Here is a 22590-nt window from a genome sequence, read left to right on the forward strand (position 1 = left end):
CCTCAAAGTATCCTTTCTGAAACACTCTCAAATTAAAAGGCACCATTCTATTTTAAGTACAAACTGATATTTTCCCACAAAACACTGATATCCAGTGTTTCTGAGCACCCTCAGTCTTCTTTCCCCTTGTCTGGGTTGAGGTTAGGGAGACATTGTGAGAATGCAAGAACACTGGAGCAAAGCTTGGTCGGCATGTATAAATCCTATTGCTGACCACCACACACTGGCCTACTAAGTAAGACATTTCCCTAACACTTCTCTTTTTTTCATAAAACATGAATCCACAGATGAAACGTAACATGCACCAAGCTCTGAGATTCTAGAAAACGTTGTGGTATTGAGGAAAAGATGCTGTCTCTAGCACCAAAAAGAAGTAGGTGTATGGCACTGCCCCTTTGTGTTATGTGATCTTAGGCAAATCATTTAACACTTTTGGACCTACCTGCGTATTAATATTGTTATCATGGGGACTAAATTCAACAACACGTGTGAAAGCACTTTATAAACAAACAGCACAAATGTTCAAACCCTTAGATTATGGAAAAGTTCCAAAGAGATAATTTAGTATACATATTCATTGTCATAATTTGAGAGGTTCTGCTTATTCTGGTTTTTATTAAAGGAAAAAGGGTGTTAGGTTTCAAGAAGATATTTAATTAATGTCTCTGTGTTTCATAGGCTAGGGGAAAGGCCAGGATTTGGTAATGGGAATCTAAAATCTGTTATCATCCATTAGTGCAAAGGAAAACAATTTTGTTACTATTGATACCTTAGTACTTTATAATGTGATCCTTATTATTTTATTTACAGACAAAGTGGAGTCAGAATTACTAAAAGGTTATAGTAAATACTTATCACATGATGTTGTTGTCATGACTGTGAAGTTATGCATACTATTTGCTGTGCTTTTGACAGTCCCTCTAATCCACTTCCCTGTAAGTACTCTTAAAGGGTTTTGTTGCCTAGTATAGACGCTTCCTAATAGGGAAACACTAATTCTTTGCAGAATAGAATGTTTGAATCACATCTAGTCTTGTATATCTTATTCACTTGTCAAGTAATTGATCAAAGACTTCATACTTGCATATGGCCCCGTAAAAGCATAAAAATAACAGTGAGCCACTAAGCTAATTTGTGCTTTTTGAGATTTAGTTTAGATTTACGTTCTCCCACAGCATTGTTTCCAATTTAGAAACTATAGTTCTTCTAAAGTTTTGGGTTTTTCCCCCCTTTAATTCTGTATTCTGTTTTCAAAAAAATGTGCATGAAGAGGAAAAAGTCAAGTCAGGAAAAATAAGCTCCTTCTGGGTTTATTGTAAATTTATTTTCACATAAGCATTCTAGTTCAATCTTGGTGAAAATATTTTATTTGCTCTAGAATTGTAATTTAAGGGGCAAAACAGATTTTCATTGCATCTGGTTGCTATACTTGAGAATCTTAAGAATTTCTGAGAAAAAGGGAACAAAGGCTTTGGGTATAAATGCATCTGCATGGATGTCTTGAATCTCTAATGCTGAGTTTTGTAAGAGCTGGGGCTTCAAGCCTCCTCCCTGTGTGGGCTGCAGTGCCAAGATTACAGCAGGGACTGGATAAATTTTTTGGCATGTGACCGCCTGCTGTGCTCTTAGCAATGGGAAGTGTAGTGAACTATTTTTTCATATTTACAGGCTGTGAAACATATAAAATAAAATAGTAAGTGGTATTTCTTTCCCATGGCATGATTTCTTTTTCTATTATAAATTGTCTGTTTTTTTAATCTGTTGCATTTAATGAAAATCATTCTTTGAGACTTTTTTCATATTTTTATTGTTGGTAATTTTAAAAATTATGCAACCTAAAAAAATTGCATGTGAAAACTTTTTCTAGCATTAAAGCTAAGTATTTTTATGAAGCTTACACAGAAAGGGTTAGTATATAAACAGTTTATGTGTATAAATACTTTATAATAATAGTTTATGCTGTATTTTTGAAATCTAAATGATGTAGGAGGCAAAAATATCATGGTTGTTGTATATGTTTCTCTCAGCAAATATCTGGACTTTGACATTTCCTCTTCGCTATATGTTTATTTTTCTGTAATACAGGCCAGAAAAGCTGTAACAATGATGTTTTTCTCCAATTTTCCATTCTCATGGATTCGCCATTTTTTGATCACTCTAGCACTCAATATTATCATCGTTTTACTTGCAATATATGTTCCTGACATTAGAAATGTATTTGGTGTAGTTGGTAAGTTTTCTGTTTCAAAAAGTTCACATAATAAAATTGATAAAATTGCTACCCAGCCTCACATCTGAATCCAGCAATATCCTCTCTTTTTTTTCCCTCCACTTTAAAGGTGCCAGTACATCAACATGTTTGATTTTTATATTCCCAGGACTATTTTATCTTAAACTTAGCAGAGAGGATTTTCTGTCATGGAAAAAGCTTGGGGTAGGTTGTTTTTGTTTCTTTCTTTCAAGACTTCTATTTTAAGAAATAGTTTGTCAGTTTATATTATTTTACCTGCATCAAGAAAGTCAATATATTTTAAAATATAGAATACATTATTGCAGAGAGTAGAGATTTAACAAATAATCCAATTGTATTTTTTTATCTTTTTTCTTTTATCTTTCTTATCTTTTATCTTTTTTCTTATTTCCACAGGCATTCGTTTTGCTCATCTTTGGAATTTTGGTTGGGAATTTTAGTTTAGCACTCATCATTTTTGATTGGATTAATAAATAAAAGAAATATTTTCCTACTTCTTACAAGAATAATATACCCCTAGTTGCAAGAATGAATTATTCCGGAAGACACCCTGGATGAAAAATAACATTTTAATAAAAATTATTAACAGAAAAGCAGAACAAAATGGCAGTGGGTATGGGGAAGTAAGAGTGTGGCAGTTTTAATCAAAAAAAGAAACAAACTCGAAATGCTCTTAAATATATTGGGTTGATCTTTTGTTTTTTAAATTAATATTTTTATGGTAGTTTTATGTTTGCAGAAATACTGAACAGAAAGTACAGAGTTCACATATACCGTTTTACCCCAACATACAGTTTCCCCTATTATTAACTCTTGCGTTCATGTGGTACATTTGTTACATTTGATGAGCCAATATTAACTATTATTATTAACTAAAGTTCATAGTTTACCTTAGGTTTCATTCTTGGCAGCCACTAGCAACCACTGATTTTTTTTTAACTTTTATTTTAGGTTCAAGGGTACATGTGAAAGCTTGTTACATAGGTAAACTCGTGTCACGGGAATTTGTTATACAGATTATTTCATCTCCCAGGTATTAAACCCAGTACTCATTAGTTACGTTTTCTGCTCCTCTCCCTCCTCCCACCCTCTACCCACCAGCCCCAGTTGTTTTTTTCTTTGTGTTCATAAGTTCTTACTATTTAGCTCTCACGTAGAAATGAAGACATGCAATATATGGTTTTCTTTTCCTGTGTGTGTTTGCTAAGGATAAAAGCCTCCACCTCCATCCATGTTCCTGCAAAAGACATGATCTTATTTTTTATGGCTGCATAGTATTCCATGATATATATATACCATATTTTCTTTATCCAGTCTGTCATTGATGGGTATATAGGGTGATTCCATGTCTTGGCTATAGTGAATAGTGCTACAGTGAACAGTGCTACAGTGAACATTTACGTGCATGTGTCTTTATGGTGGAATAATTTATGTTCCTTGGGGTATATATTCAGTAATGGGATTGCTGGGATGAATGGTAGTTTTGCTTTTAGCTCTTTGAGGAATCACCATAGTGCTTCCACGATTGTTGAACTAATTTACACTCCCACCAAAAGTGTATAAATGTTCCCTTTTGTCCACAACCTCACCAGTATGTTATTTTTTGACTTTTTATTAATAGCCATTCTGACTGATGGGAGATGATAATCTCCTTGTGGTTTTGATTTGCATTTCTCTAATGATCAGTGCTACTGAGCTTTCTTATGTGCTTGTTGGCAGCATGTATGTATGTCTTCTTTTGAGAAGTGTCTGTTCATGTCCTTTGCCCACTTTTTAATGGGGTGGTTTTTCTCTTGTAAATTTGTTCAAGTTCCTCATAGATGCCGGATATTAGACCTTTGTTGGATGTATAGTTTGCACATATTTTCTCCTGTTCTGTAGGCTGTTTGGTTTTTTTTGCTGTGCAGAAGCTCTTAAGTTTAATTAGATCTCATTTGTCAGTTAATTTTTGCTTTTGTTGCAATTGCTTGGTGCCTTTGTCATGAAATCTTTGCCCATTCCTATGTCTGGGATGGTATTGCCTAGGTTGTCTTCCAGGGTTTTTAAAGTTTTGGGTTTTACATTTAAGTCTTTAATCCATCTTGAGTTGATTTTTATATATGGTATAAGGAAAGGGTACAGCTTCAATCTTCTGCATATGGCTAGCCAGTCATTCCAGCATCATTTATTGAATAGTGAGTCTTTTCCCCATTGCTTGTTTCTTTCAGCTTTGTTGAAGATCAGATGGTCATAGGTGTGTGGCCTTATTTCTGGGTTCTCTATACTGTTCCATTGGTCTATGTGCCTGTTTTTATACCACTGTCATGCAGTTTTAGTTCCTGTAGTCCTGTAGTATAGTTTGAAGTGGGTTCATGTGATGCCTCCAGCTTTGTTCTTTTTGCTTAGGATTGCCCTGGCTATTCAGGCCCTTTTTTGGTTCCATATGAATTTTAAAATAGTTTTATCTAGTTCTGTGAAGAATGTCATTGGTAGTTTTATAGGAATAGCATTGAATCTGTAAATTGCTTTAGCCAATATGGCCATTTTAATGATAACGATTCTTCCTATCCATGAGCATGGAATGTTTTTTCATTTGTTTGTGTCTTCTCTGATTTATTTAAGCAGTGTTTTATAATTCTCATTGTAGAAATCTTTCACCTCCCTGGTTAGCTGTATTCCTAGGTATTTTATTCTTTTTGTGGCAATTGTGAATGGGATTGTCTGATTTGGCTCTCAGTTTGGTTATTGGTGGTGTATAGGAATGCTAGTAATTTTTGTACATTGATTTTATATCCTGAAACTTTGCTGAAGTTATCAGCTCAAGGAGCTTTTGGGTGGAGACCATTCTAGATATAGAATCATGTCATCTGCAAACAGAGATAGTTTGACTTCCTCTCTTCCTATTTGGATGTCCTTTCTTTCTTTCTCTTGCCTGACTGCTCTGGCTAGGATTTCCAATACTATGTTGAATAGGAGTGGTGAGAGAGGGTATCCTCGTCTTAACGCCAGTTTTCAAGGGAAATGCTTCCAGGTTTTATCTATTCAGTATAATGTTGGCCATGAGTTTGTCATGGATGCCTCTTATTATTTTGAGGTATGTTCCTACAATACCTAGTTTGTTGAGAGTTTTTAACATGAAGCAGTGTTGAATTTTTTTTTTTTTTAAGTCTTTTTCTTTTTTTTTTTCTTTTTTTTTTTATTATACTCTAAGTTTTAGGGTACATGTGCACATTGTGCAGGTTAGTTACATATGTATACATGTGCCATGCTGGTGCGCTGCACCCACTAACGTGTCATCTAGCATTAGGTATATCTCCCAATGCTATCCCTCCCCCCTCCCCCGACCCCACCACAGTCCCCAGAGTGTGATATTCCCCTTCCTGTGTCCATGTGATCTCATTGTTCAATTCCCACCTATGAGTGAGAATATGCGGTGTTTGGTTTTTTGTTCTTGCGATAGTTTACTGAGAATGATGGTTTCCAATTTCATCCATGTCCCTACAAAGGACATGAACTCATCATTTTTTATGGCTGCATAGTATTCCATGGTGTATATGTGCCACATTTTCTTAATCCAGTCTATCATTGTTGGACATTTGGGTTGGTTCCAAGTCTTTGCTATTGTGAATAGTGCCGCAATAAACATACGTGTGCATGTGTCTTTATAGCAGCATGATTTATAGTCCTTTGGGTATATACCCAGTAATGGGATGGCTGGGTCAAATGGTATTTCTAGTTCTAGATCCCTGAGGAATCGCCACACTGACTTCCACAATGGTTGAACTAGTTTACAGTCCCACCAACAGTGTAAAAGTGTTCCTATTTCTCCACATCCTCTCCAGCACCTGTTGTTTCCTGACTTTTTAATGATTGCCATTCTAACTGGTGTGAGATGATATCTCATAGTGGTTTTGATTTGCATTTCTCTGATGGCCAGTGATGATGAGCATTTCTTCATGTGTTTTTTGGCTGCATAAATGTCTTCTTTTGAGAAGTATCTGTTCATGTCCTTCGCCCACTTTTTGATGGGGTTGTTTGTTTTTTTCTTGTAAATTTGTTTGAGTTCATTGTAGATTCTGGATATTAGCCCTTTGTCAGATGAGTAGGTTGCAAAAATTTTCTCCCATTTTATAGGTTGCCTGTTCACTCTGATGGTAGTTTCTTTTGCTGTGCAGAAGCTCTTTAGTTTAATTAGATCCCATTTGTCAATTTTGGCTTTTGTTGCCATTGCTTTTGGTGTTTTGGACATGAAGTCCTTGCCCACGCCTATGTCCTGAATGGTAATGCCTAGGTTTTCTTCTAGGGTTTTTATGGTTTTAGGTCTAATGTTTAAATCTTTAATCCATCTTGAATTGATTTTTGTATAAGGTGTAAGGAAGGGATCCAGTTTCAGCTTTCTACATATGGCTAGCCAGTTTTCCCAGCACCATTTATTAAATAGGGAATCCTTTCCCCATTGCTTGTTTTTCTCAGGTTTGTCAAAGATCAGATAGTTGTAGATATGCGGCATTATTTCTGAGGGCTCTGTTCTGTTCCATTGATCTATATCTCTGTTTTGGTACCAGTACCATGCTGTTTTGGTTACTGTAGCCTTGTAGTATAGTTTGAAGTCAGGTAGTGTGATGCCTCCAGCTTTGTTCTTTTGGCTTAGGATTGACTTGGCAATGCGGGCTCTTTTTTGGTTCCATATGAACTTTAAAGTAGTTTTTTCCAATTCTGTGAAGAAAGTCATTGGTAGCTTGATGGGGATGGCATTGAATCTGTAAATTACCTTGGGCAGTATGGCCATTTTCACGATATTGATTCTTCCTACCCAAGAGCATGGAATGTTCTTCCATTTGTTTGTGTCCTCTTTTATTTCCTTGAGCAGTGGTTTGTAGTTCTCCTTGAAGAGGTCCTTCACATCCCTTGTAAGTTGGATTCCTAGGTATTTTATTCTCTTTGAAGCAATTGTGAATGGGAGTTCACTCATGATTTGGCTCTCTGTTTGTCTGTTGTTGGTGTATAAGAATGCTTGTGATTTTTGTACATTGATTTTGTATCCTGAGACTTTGCTGAAGTTGCTTATCAGCTTAAGGAGGTTTTGGGCTGAGACGATGGGGTTTTCTAGATAAACAATCATGTCGTCTGCAAACAGGGACAATTTGACTTCCTCTTTTCCTAATTGAATACCCTTTATTTCCTTCTCCTGCCTGACTGCCCTGGCCAGAACTTCCAACACTATGTTGAATAGGAGCGGTGAGAGAGGGCATCCCTGTCTTGTGCCAGTTTTCAAAGGGAATGCTTCCAGTTTTTGCCCATTCAGTATGATATTGGCTGTGGGTTTGTCATAGATAGCTCTTATTATTCTGAAATACGTCCCATCAATACCTAATTTATTGAGAGTTTTTAGCATGAAGGGTTGTTGAATTTTGTCAAAGGCTTTTTCTGCATCTATTGAGATAATCATGTGGTTTTTGTCTTTGGCTCTGTTTATATGCTGGATTACATTTATTTATTTGCGTATATTGAACCAGCCTTGCATCCCAGGGATGAAGCCCACTTGATCATGGTGGATAAGCTTTTTGATGTGCTGCTGGATTCGGTTTGCCAGTATTTTATTGAGGATTTTTGCATCAATGTTCATCAAGGATATTGGTCTAAAATTCTCTTTTTTGGTTGTGTCTCTGCCCGGCTTTGGTATCAGAATGATGCTGGCCTCATAAAATGAGTTAGGGAGGATTCCCTCTTTTTCTATTGATTGGAATAGTTTCAGAAGGAATGGTACCAGTTCCTCCTTGTACCTCTGGTAGGATTCAGCTGTGAATCCATCTGGTCCTGGACTCTTTTTGGTTGGTAAACTATTGATTATTGCCACAATTTCAGAGCTTGTTATTGGTCTATTCAGAGATTCAACTTCTTCCTGGTTTAGTCTTGGGAGAGTGTATGTGTCGAGGAATGTATCCATTTCTTCTAGATTTTCTAGTTTATTTGCGTAGAGGTGTTTGTAGTATTCTCTCATGGTAGTTTGTATTTCTGTGGGATCGGTGGTGATATCCCCTTTATCATTTTTTATTGTGTCTATTTGATTCTTCTCTCTTTTTTTCTTTATTAGTCTTGCTAGCGGTCTATCAATTTTGTTGATACTTTCAAAAAACCAGCTCCTGGATTCATTGATTTTTTGAAGGGTTTTTTGTGTCTCTATTTCCTTCAGTTCTGCTCTGATTTTAGTTATTTCTTGCCTTCTGCTAGCTTTTGAATGTGTTTGCTCTTGCTTTTCTAGTTCTTTTAATTGTGATGTTAGGGTGTCAATTTTGGATCTTTCCTGCTTTCTCTTGTAGGCGTTTAGTGCTATAAATTTCCCTCTACACACTGCTTTGAATGCGTCCCAGAGATTCTGGTATGTGGTGTCTTTGTTCTCGTTGGTTTCAAAGAACATCTTTATTTCTGCCTTCATTTCGTTATGTACCCAGTAGTCATTCAGGAGCAGGTTGTTCAGTTTCCATGTAGTTGAGCGGCTTTGAGTGAGATTCTTAATCCTGAGTTCTAGTTTGATTGCACTGTGGTCTGAGAGATAGTTTGTTATAATTTCTGTTCTTTTACATTTGCTGAGGAGAGCTTTACTTCCAACTATGTGGTCAATTTTGGAATAGGTGTGGTGTGGTGCTGAAAAAAATGTATATTCTGTTGATTTGGGGTGGAGAGTTCTGTAGATGTCTATTAGGTCTGCTTGGTGCAGAGCTGAGTTCAATTCCTGGGTATCCTTGTTGACTTTCTGTCTCGTTGATCTGTCTAATGTTGACAGTGGGGTGTTAAAGTCTCCCATTATTAATGTGTGGGAGTCTAAGTCTCTTTGTAGGTCACTCAGGACTTGCTTTATGAATCTGGGTGCTCCTGTATTGGGTGCATAAATATTTAGGATAGTTAGCTCCTCTTGTTGAATTGATCCCTTTACCATTATGTAATGGCCTTCTTTGTCTCTTTTGATCTTTGTTGGTTTAAAGTCTGTTTTATCAGAGACTAGGATTGCAACCCCTGCCTTTTTTTGTTTTCCATTGGCTTGGTAGATCTTCCTCCATCCTTTTATTTTGAGCCTATGTGTGTCTCTGCACGTGAGATGGGTTTCCTGAATACAGCACACTGATGGGTCTTGACTCTTTATCCAACTTGCCAGTCTGTGTCTTTTAATTGCAGAATTTAGTCCATTTATATTTAAAGTTAATATTGTTATGTGTGAATTTGATCCTGTCATTATGATGTTAGCTGGTGATTTTGCTCATTAGTTGATGCAGTTTCTTCCTAGTCTCGATGGTCTTTACATTTTGGCATGATTTTGCAGCGGCTGGTACCGGTTGTTCCTTTCCATGTTTAGCACTTCCTTCAGGAGCTCTTTTAGGGCAGGCCTGGTGGTGACAAAATCTCTCAGCATTTGCTTGTCTATAAAGTATTTTATTTCTCCTTCACTTATGAAGCTTAGTTTGGCTGGATATGAAATTCTGGGTTGAAAATTCTTTTCTTTAAGAATGTTGAATATTGGCCCCCACTCTCTTCTGGCTTGTTGGGTTTCTGCCGAGAGATCCGCTGTTAGTCTGATGGGCTTTCCTTTGAGGGTAACCCGACCTTTCTCTCTGGCTGCCCTTAACATTTTTTCCTTCATTTCAACTTTGGTGAATCTGACAATTATGTGTCTTGGAGTTGCTCTTCTCGAGGAGTATCTTTGTGGCGTTCTCTGTATTTCCTGAATCTGAACGTTGGCCTGCCTTGCTAGATTGGGGAAGTTCTCCTGGATAATATCCTGCAGAGTGTTTTCCAACTTGGTTCCATTCTCCACATCACTTTCAGGTACACCAATCAGACGTAGATTTGGTCTTTTCACATAGTCCCATATTTCTTGGAGGCTTTGCTCATTTCTTTTTATTCTTTTTTCTCTAAACTTCCCTTCTCGCTTCATTTCATTCATTTCATCTTCCATTGCTGATACCCTTTCTTCCAGTTGATCGCATCAGCTCCTGAGGCTTCTGCATTCTTCACGTAGTTCTCGAGCCTTGGTTTTCAGCTCCATCAGCTCCTTTAAGCACTTCTCTGTATTGGTTATTCTAGTTATACATTCTTCTAAATTTTTTTCAAAGTTTTCAACTTCTTTGCCTTTGGTTTGAATGTCCTCCCGTAGCTCAGAGTAATTTGATCGTCTGAAGCCTTCTTCTCTCAGCTCGTCAAAATCATTCTCCATCCAGCTTTGTTCCGTTGCTGGTGAGGAACTGCGTTCCTTTGGAGGAGGAGAGGCGCTCTGCGTTTTAGAGTTTCCAGTTTTTCTGTTCTGTTTTTTCCCCATCTTTGTGGTTTTATCTACTTTTGGTCTTTGATGATGGTGATGTACAGATGGGTTTTCGGTGTAGATGTCCTTTCTGTTTGTTAGTTTTCCTTCTAACAGACAGGACCCTCAGCTGCAGGTCTGTTGGAATACCCTGCCGTGTGAGGTGTCAGTGTGCCCCTGCTGGGGGGTGCCTCCCAGTTAGGCTGCTCGGGGGTCAGGGGTCAGGGACCCACTTGAGGAGGCAGTCTGCCCGTTCTCAGATCTCCAGCTGCGTGCTGGGAGAACCACTGCTCTCTTCAAAGCTGTCAGACAGGGACACTTAAGTCTGCAGAGGTTACTGCTGTCTTTTTGTTTGTCTGTGCCCTGCCCCCAGAGGTGGAGCCTACAGAGGCAGGCAGGCCTCCTTGAGCTGTGGTGGGCTCCACCCAGTTCGAGCTTCCCGGCTGCTTTGTTTACCTAAGCAAGCCTGGGCAATGGCGGGCGCCCCTCCCCCAGCCTCGTTGCCGCCTTGCAGTTTGATCTCAGACTGCTGTGCTAGCAATCAGCGAGATTCCGTGGGCGTAGGACCCTCTGAGCCAGGTGTGGGATATAGTCTCGTGGTGCGCCGTTTCTTAAGCCGGTCTGAAAAGCGCAATATTCGGGTGGGAGTGACCCGATTTTCCAGGTGCGTCCGTCACCCCTTTCTTTGACTCGGAAAGGGAACTCCCTGACCCCTTGCGCTTCCCAGGTGAGGCAATGCCTCGACCTGCTTCGGCTCGCGCACGGTGCGCGCACACACTGGCCTGCGCCCACTGTCTGGCACTCCCTAGTGAGAAGAACCCGGTACCTCAGATGGAAATGCAGAAATCACCCGTCTTCTGCGTCGCTCACGCTGGGAGCTGTAGACCGGAGCTGTTCCTATTCGGCCATCTTGGCTCCTCCCCCAAGTGTTGAATTTTATCAGAAGCCTTTTCTGCACCTATTGAGATGATCATGTGGTTTTTGTCTTTAGTTCTGTTTATGTGATGAATCACATTTATTGATTTGCATATGTTGAACCAACCTTGCATCCCGTATAAGTGTACTTGATCATGGTGGATTAACTTTTAATGTGTTGCTGGATTCAGTTTGCAAGTATTTTGTTGAGGATTTTTGCATCAATGTTCATCAAAGATATTGACCTGAAGTTTTCTTTTTTTATTGTGTCTCTGTCATGTTTTAGTATCAAGGTGATGCTGGCCTCATAGAATGAGTTAAGAGGAGTCCCTCCTCCTCAATTTTTTTGGAGTAGTTTCTGTAGGAATAGTACCTGCTCGTCTTTGTACATTTCCACTGATCATTTTACTGTCTCCATAGTTTTGTCTTTTCCAAAATGTCATATAGTTGCAATCCTATAGTATGTAGCCTTTTCAGACTGCCTTATTTCGTTTAGAAATATGCAATTAAGTTTCTTCTATGTCTTTTTGTGGCTTAATAGCTCCTTTCTTTGTAGCACTGAATAGTATTCCATTGTATGGATGTACCACAGTTTGTTTATCCATTCACCTGTTGAAAGATCTCTTGGTTGCTTCCAAGTCTTTGCAATTACAAATAAAGCTGCTCTAAGCATTCGTGTGCAGGTTTTTTTGTTTTGTTTTGTTTTGTTTTGTTTTGAGACAGAGTCTTACTCTGTCACCTAGGCTGGAGTGCAATGGTGTGATCTCGGCTCACTGTAGCCTCCATCTCCCAGGTTCTAGCAATTCTCATGCCTCAGCCTCCCCAGTAGCTGGGATTACAGGCACCCACCACTACGCCTGGCTAATTTTTTCTATTTTTAGTAGAGATGGGGTTTTACCATGTTGGCCAGGCTGGTCTTGTACTCCTGACCTCAGGTGATCCATCCGCCTCGACCTCCCAAAGTGCTGGGCATGAGCCACGATGCCCAGCCCCTGTGTAGGTTTTTATGTAGACATAATTTGCAGCTTATTTGAGTAAATACCATGGAGCACAGTTCCTACACTGTATGGTAAGAATGTATTTAGTTTTATGAGAAATTGCCAAACTACCTTCCAAAATGGCTGTAACATTTTATATTCCAGAGAGCAGTAAATTAGAGTTTCTGTTGTCTTACATCCTCACCAGCATTTGGTGGTGTCAGTGTTTTAGATTTTCACCATTCTAATTGGCATGTAGTGGTATCTCGTTGTTTTAGTTTGCAGTTCCCTAATATGATATTGAGCATCTTTTCATATGCATATTTGCCATCTGTTTATTTTCTTTGGTAAAGTATCTGTTTAGCTCAACTCTCTTTTGCCTTTTTTTTTTTTAAATACTGGGTCTTGCTATGTTGCCCCGACTGGATTTAAATTCCTGGGCTCAAGTGATCCCAGTGCCTCAGCATACTGAGTAGCTGGGACTGCAGGCACATACCACCATTTGTTAATTGTTTTCTCATTGTTGACTTTTAAGCATTCTTTTTAGATTTTATATTTCTGGGGTTTTGTTTTGTTTTTTTGAGACAGAGTCTCACTTCCGTCACCCAGGCTGGAGTGCAGTGGTATAATCTCGGCTCACTGCAACCTCTACCTCCTGGGTTCAAGCAATTCTAGTGCCTCAGCCTCCTGCATAGCTGGAATTACAGGCGCACGCCACCACACCCAGCTAATTTTTGTATTTTTAGTAGATAGGGTTTCGCCATGTTGGCCAGGCTGGTCGCAAACTCCTGACCTCAAGTGATCTGCCCGCCTCAGCCTCCCAAAGTGCTGAGATTACAGGCATGAGCTACCATGCCCAGCCAATTTCTGTTCTTTATATGTGTTTTGCAAAGATTTTTTTTTCCCCATTTTGTGGCTTGCTGTTTTATTCTCTTAACAGTGTCTTTCAAAGAGCAGAAGTGTTTAAATGTTCTTAAATATATTGGGTCAATCTTTTGTTTGTTTGTTTTAAGAAATCAGTGTATTAAATTTATATACAAAATTGATTCTTAGCTATGTTTTAATTTTGTTAGCATCAGTCACTAATAACAAAACTGAGATTGTTCTACTTGGTAGAATTTAGAGGGATTTTGCCCTCCCTCTAAATCCTATCTAAAAACTTTTATAACTTTCCTCTTCTGTTCATTATGAGATAGACCTGTGATGACTGCCTGTGTACTTCAAAGTCCTTTCTCTGAGTTTTCTTAGTTGGTCACTAAAACAGGCAACATTCTACTTGGCAGAGACAAAATGTTGATCATTTCTATAATATTTTGTTTGGAGGTTATAAATCATTGCAGCTTCTCATTGACATGGCTTATTTCAGGTTAGGAACCAGAACCTAGGGCTCTCCTCCCATGAAATTCTACTAAAGCCAGGGTGTATCAGTAAAAATGTAATCCTACCCCAGTACACATGTAAAGTAGAGAATTGCATGCAAAGTGCCGGTTTTCATATATGGAAATACACTCTTTTGCAGGTGCACCTTTGCTTCTCACTTAGGAAATAAGCCGAAAAATTGACAACTGAGCTTCTCTTTTGAGAAGATCAAGATATTTAGCAACTGGAGAACAGTGTAGTGTAATGGTAAAAGACCAAGCTCTTGGGTTAGAAAGACTTGGATTCAAGTCTCAGTGTAAGGCACACTACGTAACCTCTATAAGCCTCCATGTTCACATCTGTAAAATGGAGTTAATGCCTATTATACAGGGTCATATTGATAGAATTAAATGCTCTGTATAAATTAGGTGCAGACCAAAACAGACTCTTTTGATAGATTAAATGTTTATCCCCTTTGTCCATTCCCTTATCTGGACCAATGAAATGAGTTTGCTTTCCACTAAGGACATGGAAACATACCTTGAATTTCTTCATCTTGCATGAGAATTATTTTCAGAATCTTTCTCTAGCCTTCACTCACAGGGGAACTGGCCCCAGGTGCACGTTTTGAGTGCTTTCCCACAGTTTACCTCAGCTGTACTCTCCTACTAATAATGCCTTCCTGAAACTAGGCACTTAGAATGGTCCCAGGCCACAGCCAGACATGGCCTCCCATGTGGCTTCAGGTCAGCCAGAGCCAGTCAATCCGATATCCTACTACTCGTACCCTCTTCTTCTGTTTATGACATTATGGATCCAAATACAGATAGGTGTGCAGCTACTTAAATAAGTCTAACTCCAGTAATACCAAAATAACCCTAAATCTGCAACAGATGCAAGGATGCCCCCTGGGGGCAATTGTTAAGTGTGATGACAGCTGGGCATCAATTAATACATTTGTCACCTGCTCATGAGATAGGATCATGGGAGGTTTGGCAAAGGGACAGTCTGTTGAACACTGCACAAAACTTAGTAGCAAGAAAAATTATTTGTGCAGGTATTCATTTTTATTTTACTTTAATGTTCTGCCTTATCTAGTTGCCTGTTTTGAGTCACAACTTTCTCTGTGCATTTAGATGAGGTTAATAAGATGGCTGGTGAGAGCAGTGCCCCCTTCAGCCAAGATTACCAAAAAAAACCTTGTTCAAATGCCCCTCAGAATTTTTCCTGGGAAATATGGGCCTTCTCATTATGGGCTTAATGTTCATAATTTATTAGGTAATAACTATTTAAAATAAAACTAAGTAAAGCAGAAAATATATACTTTTCTAACATTTGGAGACTTGTTTGCTAAATTAAAAGACGAAGTGCCAAGACTATAAATTACTTTCGTATGTTGAGGGTGAATGTTTAAATTGTACTTTTTTATTTTTAACAGAATGTTTACTCATGAGCTTAGCATTTAAATGGTTAAAACAAGGCTTTGAAGTTAACACTCCATTAAGATGAATGGGGGTAATTCACACCTCTGCTTGTGCTATATTATTTCAGTCTGGTTGCAGAGAAAACAAGACAGCAGTAGGTTGATTTACTGTGTGAAGGCCCTTTAAACACCCAAGGTCTGGAAATCTTTGGGGTGTGTGTGTGTGTGTGTATGCTTTTCCATCTAGAAGCAGGATCTGAAATTCAATACAATCTAGGTATAGAATCGAGGTCTTGAAAATACTAAAGATTCTCTGCTATCCAGCAATTCCATATCTGGCATTTGACGGGTAGCACGTTACTGGATCAACCCAACCTCTCTGGCTTTGTTTGCTACTGTACTGTAGTGTTTCTTCCTACCACAGCATTTTTTAAACTTCAGCTTAGTATACTGGTAAATCCATCAGTGGAAAAGCAGAAACGAATTATCCATTTTCCGGTGAACTTTGTATGTGCCTTCAGATGGGTTATGAGCTAAGCATTGGTCTTCATGTGCTCCTTTTTAAAACATTTTCATCTTTGCAAAATCTCCTGTTCTATATTTACCTACATATAAAGCATCTACCTTTAAGAACTTTACAATTTTTTCTCATATCCCTGGGGTAGTGAAGTAAGCAGAGATCAGTTGAAAAAGAGACATTTCTTTCTCAATGTGTCCTTTAAACCAGTTCTATATTGTATTTGAAATGTGTATTCCACCCATTGGTGGAAGTGCTACAGCCATTTGACCCTGAAATGATTCATTTTAGGGCCTGGGAATAAGGTTATCTTAACACAAATGAAATGGCAAACACTGTATAAGATGTTAATGAGTTTGGAAGATCTATCTTTAAGGTAAACAGATTTTTCTCTTCTCTCTTCTCTGTCCTGCATGTTTGCAGGCTCAGGTTACTGGGTAATCTGTGGGTAGCTAGGTGTGGAGAGTACTTCCACTCTGGCTGGCTGTAGTGCTGACACTGCCAATACAGTATATACAGAGAGAAAATAGATGCTAGAAACAGAGGGACTCAAACTGAATTAATTTTAACCTGTTTTTCTTTTTGGCATGTTAACAGCTCTCTGTGGCTGTGTTAGAATTAGCCCTATGTTAAACATACTTTACTTCCTGCAAATTTTTCTGCCTAGATTTTAGGTGTCATAATTTTTGACCTTAGAACATTTCAGAATCTTTTTATTGTACTGAGAAATTTGTTTTTTAAAAAACTCAAATACACAATTTATTCTTCTGATAATCTTCCTGTATTTTTTCCATAAGGAGGTAGGAAAAGTAGGAAACAAAATTTTGATGGAGGATGAATAAAGATATTGTGGACATGGTTTCTTTATTGCAATCAGAATCCTTTCTGTTTGTCACCCTTCCTAAACAATCTGATAAATGTGTTTATTATCACAGTAATCTGTTGTCCTGCTTTGCCAAGCTGTCAGTCAGGACAAGCAATTATAAGGAACAGGAAGACTCATCTTGGCTGATGGCCAGGTGGGCAGGTGGGAATAAGAGGTTTATTCACCTGTGGTACAAAGTAAATGGGTAGAAAGGAAAATTGAGTTGCCAGGGAGAAAAAAAAAACACAAAAACAGATGGATGAAAAGACATTGTAATATGGGATGCTATAAAGAAAAAGACTTGCAGAGAAATGTTTCTCACTTGTTTGAGTGTACAGTCATCCCTTGGGGGATTGGTTCCAGGATCTCCCTCATATATCAAAATCCATGCACATTCAAGTCCTGCTGCAGAACCACATATACAAAATATCAACCCTGTGTAAACATGCGCAGATTTTGCATCCTGAAAATACTATATTTTTTATCCGTATTTGATTGAAAAAAGTCAACTGTTAGTGAACCCGTGCAGTTGAAACCCATGTTGTTCAAGAGTCAACTGTGTATATATTTTATCTAGTGTTCATCAGTGGACAGATACACAACACAAGCAAAAGGGCTGGCTAATTCATTCAGCAAATTCTTAGCACATATTATGTCCTAGAAGTTGAGCTAGTCCCAAGGTCATGAAACTATGTAAGACATACATACATCTTGCTTGAAAAAAGTTCAGATACAACTTTTATTTTTCTGACTGAACATTTTCAGACCAACTTGATAAGTGAAATTGCTTAAATGAAAAATTATACATGTATTTTTAATATATACATATGTTTTTAAAAAAAGATTTTGGAGTCAAAATTACCTGTGTTCGAATCCCAGCTTCTGTCTCTTTCTATATCTTTCTAATTTTGGACAAGTTACTATTCTCTGAACTTGCTGAAGACTCAATATTTGACTGGGTTTTCTCTCAACCAGAGGAAACTCTCCTTCAAGTGAGATTACATATTTGGGAAAAACTCGAGTAAGCCGTTAAGCATTGAATATACGTACACTTTTATTACTTTACTGTCCCTCAAATCACATAACTTCCAACCATGTTGTCTCTTCTGCCGTCTCTGCTTCAGACATTTAGTCAGCAGCCTGACTAGAAAACGGTATTCTAGAAATATCCTGACCAATGCATTTATTTTCACTACTGATGTATTTTTCCCCGGAAAAAGTAATTCTTGTAGTTTCATAGTAAATATTATCCACATATTTTGACTTTACATCAGCATTTTTAGCAATGACATTACACTTTTGGCTTATAAAGTATGTGGTCAGAAAAGCTGCAGGCCTTTTTTAGGTAAATTACCCTGGTTTCTAGAACCCTGTACTTGTGCTGTTGATTTACATTTTTTAAATATGAGGGAATATACATGCACACACACACACATATATATATATACACATATGTATAGGTACACATATACATACATACATATGTATCTGTTATCTATGTGTTAAATTTCATCCTGTTAGCTTCAGTGCACCACTTAAGCAGTTGAGATCTTTTTTTTGAATCTTGATTCTAGTGCATCAGTCACCATTCCCGCTTTTGTGACATTCTTCATCATACTTACATTTTTTCATCCCATTCACAGATAAAAATGTTAAATGAGACAAGACTAACCAGAGGGCCCTGCAGCCCACCGCTATCAGTATTTCTCTTGAGTTGTTATTAATCTATACTTTGGATGAAGTTGTTAATATTCCTGTAGTGTCATCTAACCTGCATTTCCTCACTTCCCTTGGAAGTGACCCCCAAATCAGTGGGTACAGCCTAAACTCCTATCTGTTTTCTGTATTTCTAGTTGCTTCAGAACATTTCTGCTTGGGGGCTCCACAATCACTTCAAACTTAACATGTCCAAATCCATTCCTCACTACAGTTTTCTCATATCTGTCAGCAGCCCCTGTTTTCATCCAACATCCCAACTGGCTTTCTTGCTTCCATTCCTGCTACCTACAGTCCACTTTCATACTGCAAAGTAGTTGTTTAAAAATTCAAATCAGATTATATTGCTACCCTGATTAATTTCCTCCAAGGGCTTTCCATCTCACTTAGAATGAAATCCATGCCATGGCCTACAAGGCTCAATTTTGTCTGTACCTACTTATTTCTCTGATGTCAATGTATCTTTCATTCTCCAGCCACACTGGCCTTTCTGCCCCTGGAACACACCAAGCTTGTTCCCTCACACTTACTGTTTTCCCTACTTAGAGCATAATTTTCAAAGACCTTTGCAAGCCGGGCTTCTTATTTAAGCCTCGGGTCAACTGTCACCCCCTCAGAGAGGTCTGCCCTGCCTGTCTTATGGTCATGACCGTCTTATGGCCCCCAACACATGGTAGTGCTTTTAACTTTACCCTGTTATACAGGTCACTGCTGGAAATCTTGTTTATGTGTTGTCTGTGTCCACTAGACTGAAAGTTTCATAAGAACTGGGACATAACTGTCTTATTTATAACCAAATCCTCAGAGCTTAGGACAGTGCCTGGTACTTTGGAGTGGCTTAATATTTGTTGAATGAATGCATAAAGGAATCTAACAGACTGTGTCCTTCTACTCTTTACCTCTAATCTGTCACAATGTCAGTTCTTCTTTGAAATGCCTCCTAGATTTGCTTTTATGCTGACCCAGCCTCCTGCCAGACTCCTATCTAAATCTCAGCCTTCATCTCTTTGTGCCTGAAGTATTGCAGTGATTATCACTTCAGGCTGTTCTTTGGCATCACTTGGGCAACTTTGCAAAAATTACCACATGCAGGTTCCACCCCAACCAATTAAATCCAAATCTCTGAGGGTTACGACCCAGGCATCGATAAACTTCTTAGAGCTTCCCAGATGACTCCAATGCACAACTACTGGATTGCCATATCTACCTGCTAGCAGATGTATGTCTTCCAGCCCATTTTGCCTGTTACTGTTCTCTGGTCTCCTTGGAATCCTGCTTTCATAGTATTACTCTCTTGCTCAAGAACCTATAATGGCTCACTACTACCCCCATTAATCCCAGATAATGGCTCACTGCTACCCCCATTAATCCCAGATAATGGCTCGCTACTACCCCCATTAATCCCAGATTCCCTTGCCTCATCCACTAAGCTATATTTGAGCCCTTTCTTACGTATGTTCTACAATACCCTTAAACTGTTTTTTCTGTCTAGCACTTGATTTGCCTTTTATTACCCTCTTCTATATTGTTACTCCTCTCCCTACTCCCACTTCCAGGTACATACCCAGAATGTGACTTATTTTCCACCTATCCAAATGCTTCTCATTCTTCAACACCCAGCTCAAATCCCACTTCTGTAAACACTTTATTCTCCACTCTAGTCTACCCCTTATTATCTGTATGATTATTTTGGTATACCATTAGTACCTTGTAAGATTTTTCGTATTTTTTTCATAAACTACTTTTGTAATTTTGTATTCAGTTTTTGAGTGGGTAATGTGCACATGGTACAGATTTTAAATTTACAAAAATACCCTCCCATCCAATTCTATCCCCAGCATCCAGTTTTCCTCCTTGGAAGCAACCACTTTTACAACTTTCTGTGTTCTTCCCAGTATATTCTATGCCTCTCTTAGAGAGAGAGAGAGAGAATACACAAACACAAGGAGAATACACGGATATACACCCGCAAATGTTGGCATACAACATGAAATCCTTTGCCCCTTTGACTTCTCTTTACTTAACATTATGACTTTTTTTAGTTGTGCTAAAACAAAAAATAAACAACACCTAACATGAAATCTGCCCTCTTAACAAACTTGTAAGTGTACGATATAGTGTTGTTAATTATATGCACATTGTATAGTAGATACCTAAAACTTTTTCATCCGGCATGACTAAAACTCTGTGCCTAATTGAACAGCAACTCCCTATTTCCCTGTTCCTGCAGTCCCTGGCAACTGCCATTTTACTTTTTGCTTCTATGAGTTTGACTGCTCTCGCCATCTTGTACCAAGGAATCATGTAGTATTTTGTCCTTTTGTGACTGGCTTGTTTCACTTAGCATATTGTCCTCAAGTATTATGCATATTGCAGCACATGGAAGAATTTTCTTCATTCTTTAAGGCTGAATAATATTCCATTGTATGTGTATACCACAATTTCTTTATCCATGAATCTGCCAATAGACATTTAGGTTGTTTTCACCTCTTGGCTATTGTGGATAATGCAGCAACAAACATGGGAGTGCAAATATCTCTTCCAAGATTCTGTTTTCAATCATTTTGTTTAAATATCCAGAAGTGAGATTGCTGTATCATATGGTAGTTCTATTTTAAATTTTTTGAAGAATCTCTATACTGGTTTCCTTAATGGTTGCACTATTTTATGTTTCTATCAGCAGTGCACGAGGGTTCCAATTTCTCCATATCCTTGCCAGCATTTGTTTTTTGTTATTTTGATAATGATCATCCTAACAGGTGTGAGGCAATATCTCATTGTGGTTTTGTTTTGCATTTCCCTGATAAGTAGTGATGTTGAGCATCTTCATATAATGTCTGGTCGTTTGTATGTCTTTGGGGAAATTTCTTTCATGTCCTTTGCCCATTTTAAAATTTAATTTTTTTGTTACTGAGTTGTTGTAGTTCCTTCTATATTTTGTATATTAACCCCTTATCAGATATGCGGTTTGCAAATATTTTCTCTCTCCTTAAGATTTTTATTCTGTTGATTATTTCTTTTGCTGTGCAGAATCTCTTCTGTTGGATGTTGTCCCACTTGTCTATTTTTGATTTAGCATTATGTTTTGGAGATTATTTTGTATCAGTATACACAAAACTCCCTAAATATTTTAACAGCTGCATAGTATTCTGTTAATGCATAGACCATAATTTAATTAGCTAGTTTCCTATCAATGCATATTGAGGGATTTTTTATTTTCAAATGTTGCAATTTTATATAATGCTTCAAATGTTATCTTTGTATACATATGTCATTTAGCACATATATTAATATATCTGTAGTATATATTTCTATCCATTTAACTGGAATTCTGGGTCAAAGGGCATGTGCATTTTTAATTTTGGTAGGTATTACTACATTGACCTTCATTAAAGATTTTATTGGCTGGGCACAGTGGCTCATGCCTGTAATCACAGTACTTTGGGAGGCTGAGGTGAGTGGATCACTCGAGCCCAGAAATTCAAGACCAGCCTGGGCAACATGGCAAATCCCTCTCTCTACAAAAAATACAAAAATTAGCCAGGTGTGGTGGCGTGTGGCCATAGTCCGAGCTACTTGCGAGGCTGAGGTGGGAGGATTACATGATCCCAGGGAGGTTGAGGCTGCAGTGAGTTGTGATTGCTCTACTGCACTGTAGCCTGGGTGACAGAGTAAAATCCTGTCTCAAAAAAAAAAAAAGGAAAAAAGAAGATATACTGATTTATATTCACAACAACTATGTAGGAATTACCCTTTCAATTTTGTGTTGTTATTTAGCTTTTCACATTTAAATACTTTACCTCTCTGACTCCGTTGTAATTAACCCAAAGACAGGAACTATGACATTACATATTAGCATCTCTCACAGTAGTTGGTGCTCAGTAAATATTTGTTAAATCTTGTGTATTTAGGGAGTTTTCCCATGAGTGGCGTTTCTGATGAGTCCCATGTGAGAATTGTCCCCTTTGCATGTTTGCTGTTTCCAGGAAAGGGTGTGATTGTGTGTGATATTCTTAGGCGAGATGCTTAGTCTATTTTGTGTTGCTGGAGCCTGGGAAATCCAATATCAAGGTACCAACACGTTTGGTGTCTGGTGAGGGCCTTGTCTCCACTCCCAAGATGGCCTTTGAATGTTCCACCCTCTGGAGGGGAGGAATACTGTTCCTCAAATGACACATAAGTGAAAAGAGAAAGCCCGCTTCCAAAGGCACTTTTATTTTATTTTATTTTTATTATTTTTATTTTTAATCTTTGTGAGTACATAGTAGGTGTATATATTTATGGAGTACATGACA

The 22590-nt window shown here is 38.2% G+C and overlaps 1 protein-coding gene across 21 annotated transcripts in view; it reads left to right on the forward strand.

Annotated features, from left to right (window-relative positions):
- Positions 1-22590, forward strand: part of SLC38A6 (solute carrier family 38 member 6) — a 102489-nt gene that overhangs the window by 68457 nt on the left and 11442 nt on the right. For 13 of the 21 annotated variants that reach the window (NR_033344.2, XR_007063987.1, XR_007063988.1 and 10 more), the window contains 3 exons: positions 811-935; positions 2086-2230; positions 2340-2434. Coding sequence is in view for 16 of the 21 variants with exons in the window: in XM_017021022.2 (XP_016876511.1) it covers positions 811-935; positions 2086-2230; positions 2340-2434 (365 nt within the window). In the remaining 5 variants the exon portion in view is untranslated. The other 8 variants (XM_047431005.1, XM_047431006.1, NM_153811.3 and 5 more) reach the window with 5 other exon arrangements.

The sequence above is a fragment of the Homo sapiens genome, chromosome 14 (genome assembly GCF_000001405.40).
Source record: "Homo sapiens chromosome 14, GRCh38.p14 Primary Assembly".
Taxonomy (NCBI): Eukaryota; Metazoa; Chordata; class Mammalia; order Primates; family Hominidae; genus Homo; species Homo sapiens.